Source organism: Homo sapiens, chromosome 1 (genome assembly GCF_000001405.40).
Source record: "Homo sapiens chromosome 1, GRCh38.p14 Primary Assembly".
Classification (NCBI taxonomy): Eukaryota; Metazoa; Chordata; class Mammalia; order Primates; family Hominidae; genus Homo; species Homo sapiens.
Window position 1 is genome coordinate 116,330,716 of NC_000001.11, and position 6,000 is coordinate 116,336,715.

At 43.4% G+C, this 6,000-nt stretch overlaps 1 long non-coding RNA gene across 4 annotated transcripts in view; it reads right to left on the reverse strand.

Moving 5' to 3' along the window:
• LOC105378920 (uncharacterized) overlaps window positions 1–5,603 on the reverse strand; it is a 58,385-nt gene extending 52,782 nt beyond the window's left edge. For all 4 annotated transcript variants that reach the window (XR_001738197.2, XR_947728.3, XR_947729.3 and 1 more), the window contains exons 1-2: window positions 5,463–5,603; window positions 1,133–1,231 (exon numbers count right to left, since the gene is read on the reverse strand). This is a non-coding gene — a long non-coding RNA (uncharacterized LOC105378920). The remainder of the gene's footprint in view (window positions 1–1,132; window positions 1,232–5,462) is intronic.
• Between the last annotated feature and the right edge of the window lie 397 nt (window positions 5,604–6,000).

Below are 6,000 nucleotides of genomic sequence, written 5' to 3' on the forward strand. Positions count from 1 at the left end.
GAGAAAAGCCTAACTGGCCTGTGAGCTCTGGAGAGGGTGGGAGGGAGTGGGATAGGAGTTCAAGCTGAATCCTGCCCCTCCAAGCTCATTGCTGGCCCCTGAAGTGACTTGGGTGAGCATGATCACCCATCTGCCAATCAAAGGCTGAACTTCAGGGCCCAGGCAAATGGTAAGAAACTCTTCTTTAACTTGTGCTATTTAAAAAATATAAATCTTCACAGAGGGGAGGATTCCTTTTATGAGGTCCTGTAGGTCCTGCTTATGGAAGTGAAAAAGGTGTTGCTCTCCTCAGGAGTAGATGCTGGTTAAATATTTCTTGGCTGAGTCAGGTGAGAATGCACTTCCATGGGGTTGGAAGAGTTGTTTAGTAGAAGCAATACAAGGAAACATCACCAACAGGTCATAGGGTGTTAGAAGGAAAAGTGCTTGCTGATGTAGTGTGAGAGAAGACCTAAGGATAGAATTCTGGAGAATAGCTTTTAAGAAAGAGCAATTTCCAATGAAGTTCAAGTCAAGGTTTTATTTGTTTGCCAAAGGACATTTTCCCCAAGAAAACCTAGAGAGGTGCAATGCAGAAAATTACAGCCTCTCAGGCTGCATCAGAAGGCGGTTCTAGTGACCTTCCCTGCTCAGCATCTCCTGCTCCTTCTGAGTCCTCCTCTGGGACATCTTGCAAGACCCTGGACACCTTTGAGCTCAGTTTGGAAACACAGAATTAATCAATATCACTAAGTGTCTACTCCCAGCTCCCATTTGCACCTACAATTAAGTGGCCGACTTCTCAGCAGAGCCTTGCACGCTTCAGCCGATTTGTCAGAGCACATCTACTGCTCCGTGGTGCCTTAGAAAGGCGTTGGTAGAAGGCTGCAAATCAGCCCTTTAGGAAATTGGCAGTTCCCATTCCAGGACAGGCCTACCATTGGGTCTCTGGGCATCTGCATTGTACAAGCCCTAAGCTAGTAAAAGCCTCACTGGGCTATGTCCTTGGACTTCCTCTAATATTCATTGTCAGCAAATATGAATAATGCCTAAATTTCAGAATTACCACTGGGCTAAATTAATCTTCTCTAGAACGAATGCATCTTTAATACTTCCATCAAAAACTACTTTGAGAAAAAGAGAGAAGGGTTACCTTATTTCCAGGCATCTTGTGTCAACAATCCACTTTAGGTTCCATACTTGCCACTCTTGAATAATTAAAAGTCAAGGTCGCACATGTCACTGAAGAAACCTGTAATGAACATTTAAGCATAAGTATTAGACTCTCTAAATTACCTCAGACTGTTCTTTAAAGGGTATTAAGAGAGACAGAGAGATCTTGGCCTAATTTTTATTTGGGAAAACAGCTTTTTGTGATTTCATAACTTTTGCTTACATAAAAAGATTTAAAAATTTAAGGTAAACTCTCACTGACTAGATGACACAGCCTTCTTCTAGATGAATATTGTAAGGTTTTGAGACAGCAGTGATGTCCTGATCCACATGGCAGATGGTGGAAGTAATTTCAGATATCCTCAAATCCTACACCCACATTCTACAAGTAAGCGAATTGAGGTCCAGGTGGGTAAAGAAATTTTCTTCATACACTAAAGCTAGCTAGCAGGCAGACAGAAACAAGAATCTTGTGTTTATGGCTCCAAATGCAGTGCTTTTCCTACTACATCATGTAACAAATGCAGAACAATTAGTAAACATCTCTCAGAGCTGCTGTTTTGCTTCCAGCGCAATTCAAATTGTGTTCATCAGACTCATTTATATGCCGCTAACAAGAATGCCTGCATCAGTTATGTCTTGCACACATTTGTTATAAAGAGAATGACCTTTAGACCTTCAAATGTGTCTTTCATTTGTTGGGGCTCTGTGGACAAGCTGGAAGGATTGGGATGTTTCTGAAAAGCCAAAGAGTGTGCAGATGGCTGGAACACAGGGCTTCTCCTGCCGGTAATGGGAAGGAGGAAGTATAGTGAGCCTCGTGATTCTCAAGCCTGGATCCATTAGAATCATTCAGAGAGGTATTTTTACAGTACAGTGCCAACCTACATAGCCAGAGTTTTTTATTTATTTGGCCTGGGGTGGGTCCAGAGCACTGGTGTTTTCCAAGCTTCCTTTGGTGATGTGCATAGGCAGATAGGGTTGAGAATCACCTTATCTCAAGGTTTAGGTATCAGAACTGGGTTTGATAAAAGCAAGGTTTTGGTATCAGAACTGGGTTTGATAAGAGCAAGGTTTTGGTATCAGAACTGGGCTTAAAATCCCCAACCCTGACACATACACCTATTCTCTCTGAGTTTCCTTCATGTGTTTTTAAAAAATTTTTTTATCCCATTGGGTTATTGTAGATTAGCATATGAAGTATATAGCAGTTTCTCAATAAGTTTAACTCTTCTTCCTACATTTAGGTGGCAATAGCAAAGAAGTAGCCTGAAGTCATCTAGTGAAGGAAGAATAAAAGGAAAGATAATTATGGTATTTGTGAAAAAGTGTTTAGTACAGGATCCATACAACTGAATCCTTCCTGGCTTCTGCTCTCTCCCTTCTTGCTGGAATAAATATTCATGTAAATCAATGGCTGGGCACCCATAATCCCCCAGGATGTGGTTCTATCTGTTCAATGTTTTGCATCATTTTGTTCGGTTGAGAAGTTTCTGTGTGCCTTCATTTGTATAAAGTTTTTCCTATGTGCATCAAGCCATCAGAAGAATCTCTTAGGGAATAGGGTGAAGGCTGGCAGAGACATCTCTGCTCTCTGTCAGACATACCTTGCGTTACTTCTACCTGCATGACATGATTCTCTGACAACCTAGCCCTCATAAAATGCCTCAGATGATTGCACAAATAAGTCAACACAGTCCTTCCCAGGGGCATCAGATACCATTTCCATTCTCATCTCTGTACAGAAAGCATATGGAAAATTCTGGTGCCACAGGGATCAGGGCATGGAGCTGGAGTAAGTAAATAGCAACAATTGATGCCTTTGGTGCCTACAGTCACCCCAGTGAAAAAAGCAAAACCAGATTTGCTTTTTCTTTATTCCTCTTGTATTTTCTTTAGCCCATGCATCGGAGTTGAACTCAGAATTCCCAACCCTGGCCCTGATCTCGGGCATCAGTCTGTGTCCAGTGGTGACACAGGGATCCCTCCCAGTCAAGGGGGTCTCCAGTCCACTGTAGGGCATGTGTGGCCCTCTGCTCTTGTGCTTTCCTTTGTGTAGAGCTCCTGCCCAGGCCCTGAGTGAGCTCCCGCTCCCTGGTATCTGGCTCTTTTCCATGACCCACACTCTTCAATGACTACATTTCTCACACTGGAGGACTAGATTTCCCAATGTTCGGGCTGCAAGAATCTACCTTGCGCAGGAAGCTTTGTCCCCTACATGTCACAGTTCAGCTCCAGTAGGAGGTACCAACAGAAGCAAGGTGTATGGAGGCAGTGGTGTACTTTGGTGCAGCCCACAGCTTCATTACACAGTTGCCTAGGGAACTTCCAGGCCACCATCCAGCTGCCTCCAGCTGCCTCCTGCTGCTGTTTCTGTTGGACAACTCCCTCCATTGCTGCCTAGAGCATTTAAATGGCAAGATGACTCAAGATACCCTGCCCCAGGGGTTCCTGGCTTCTCTTCCTTCCTCTCCCAGCACCTCCCAGCCCTTTTCCCTGCAGTCATCACACACAGGCACCATTCAAGTGTGCAACTATTTTTACTAAAGTGTGAAGGATTCTCAGGGCACAAACTATACTTAGCAGAGGTTAAAGTTCACATTATGCAATAAGGCATAAGTTTAAATCATTAAACAGCCTGTCCTATGCTCTTTCTGTCCTCACTCCTCTACAAATGGACTTTTTCAGTCCTAACGCTTCTCTTTTTAATTCAGCCTATGTATAACTCAAGGCCTTTGTTCTCTGCAAGGAAGAGAGACCATTTCTTTTTAGGCTTCAAATCACTCCCTCAGTCTCAGATAGAGATTTTCTTATGACCATCAGAACCTCTGATTTAGAAGGAAGCTATGAAGAAATGTTAAAAGGAATCTTCCCAATGTTGAAAAATCTAGCCTAGAAATTTTAAAAAATGTATCCACCAAGGGGCTTGAACTGACGCTAGTTGACAACTGCAGTTGGCTTTTCAGGCCCAGGTAGTGAGAAGGAATTATGTTTGAGGGTGTTAATTTCAGCATAAGAATGAAGAGGAGGGCTCAAACTAGCTCATCTGCTAGAGGAAAGACCGGGGTCCACACTGCGTGTGTGCCAGGATGTTTCACCACATGGTCCCTCTGGTACTGAAAGCCCTGTTACTAACAGTCGTAGCTGCCTGCTCTGGACAGGAAGTGCCTCAGTGATGAGAGTCCCCTTGCTCAAGGTCACAGCCCCTTCCTGGGGCAGCCTGCATCCAATGACTGGGCAGAGTTTGTTATAAAGGCTCAGCCCTCTTCCCCTGAGCTCAGGAAAACTCTAAGGCGGCATCCCTCCTTCAGAGACTGCATCACAGTTCCACGGCTTCCTCTGCCTCTTTCACAGAGAAGAACTCTACCTAATACGTCCCCACGTGCTAATCTCCATCTCAGAGTAAGCTTCCCAGGGAACCAACCTGAGACAATGATCAGAAGAGCTTAGTAACATTTCTTAAACAACGTAACATTCCCAGGTTTGTTTTTTGTATTCTCTTTTAAACCACTGCCACTATCAGTAAAGCTCTTAAAATACAAATGATAAATGCTCTTGTATAGCCTCTGTCCTAGCTCCTGAATGTGCTGACAGCAGGCTTAGCAGCATCAATATCACGGGTGAGTGTATCTGAAATGCAGACCTTCAGTTCCCAACCCAGACTAACTAAATCAGAGTGCATTTTAATAAAATCCTCAGATGATTCCATATGCATATTAATGTTTGATAAGCACTGGCCTACATGACAATTGGGTAAGAAATAATTAAGCAGGAATGTTTACTGGTAGCACAGAAGCATCCTGGCCTCCTTTTTCTCTGCCCAATGAGGGTTATCTGTTTTTCTTAATAAAAGGAGTTTAAAAACCCATTATTTTTGGCATAGACCAATCATAAACAAAAGGGCAGAAAACAGAGGCAGATGGTCAGACAACACACTGCTCAGGTTAGGAAACCAAGCAGCAATATTAAGCAAACAGGGAAAAACATTAAGGGAAAAATATGTAAAATAAGGATCAGCACTTCTGAGAGTATAAAGGAAAAGATGAAAAGCTGTCCTTGCAATACAATAGATGGACTTTGAACATGAGCAGTGACTTACAGCGTTCCCAAAAAACAATAAGGAACCTCCTCGTATAAGAACGCTTTCTCAAAGTTCAGGCACACACGGAGACGTGAACAAGAGGACAAGCTCACACCTGAGCAAACTCCATTCTCTTAGCCACACCATCAAAAGATTTCCACCACTCTTCAGTGAGGAGGAACTAGTTTATATTAGAAAGGCAACAGTTTGTTGTAGGTAACATGCTTACATGTTAAAGTGTAACGAATCCTTCCATGCTTCTAATTCGTAGGGAGGATTCTGTCATTCCCAGAAGATCCACTTGTTGTTCATAAAATGCTGCATTACGCTGTCTGGATTTCTTTATAGACGGATAGCTAGACAGAGTTTGACCTCTATGTGGCTTTTCCAATAAAAGTCCTAGAACACAAGGTAGGCAGGAACAGGTAAGTGGCACTGATAAAGAGTGCTGCTCTGTCACGATTGATTTATGTTGGGCTGTGGCCTGTTTAAGTTCATTTAAGGGCAGCAAGAAAAGAGGGAGCTGTGGTGAGGCCATGACACAGCCTGCCCTGATAGAACAGAACCCCTAAGGGAAAATGTGTTAGCAGCCACTAAGAGGAGAGGCAGGGGCAAGCACATTCCACCCTCATTGCAACAATAAAATCTGAACAGAACACATGGCGTGCCTATCTGAGGACTCTGAAAAGTAAATGGTAGCAGATGGATTAAGAAAGAAGACCAGAACTCAAACTGTCAGTGAATCAACAGTGAGTGTTCCCTTTCTG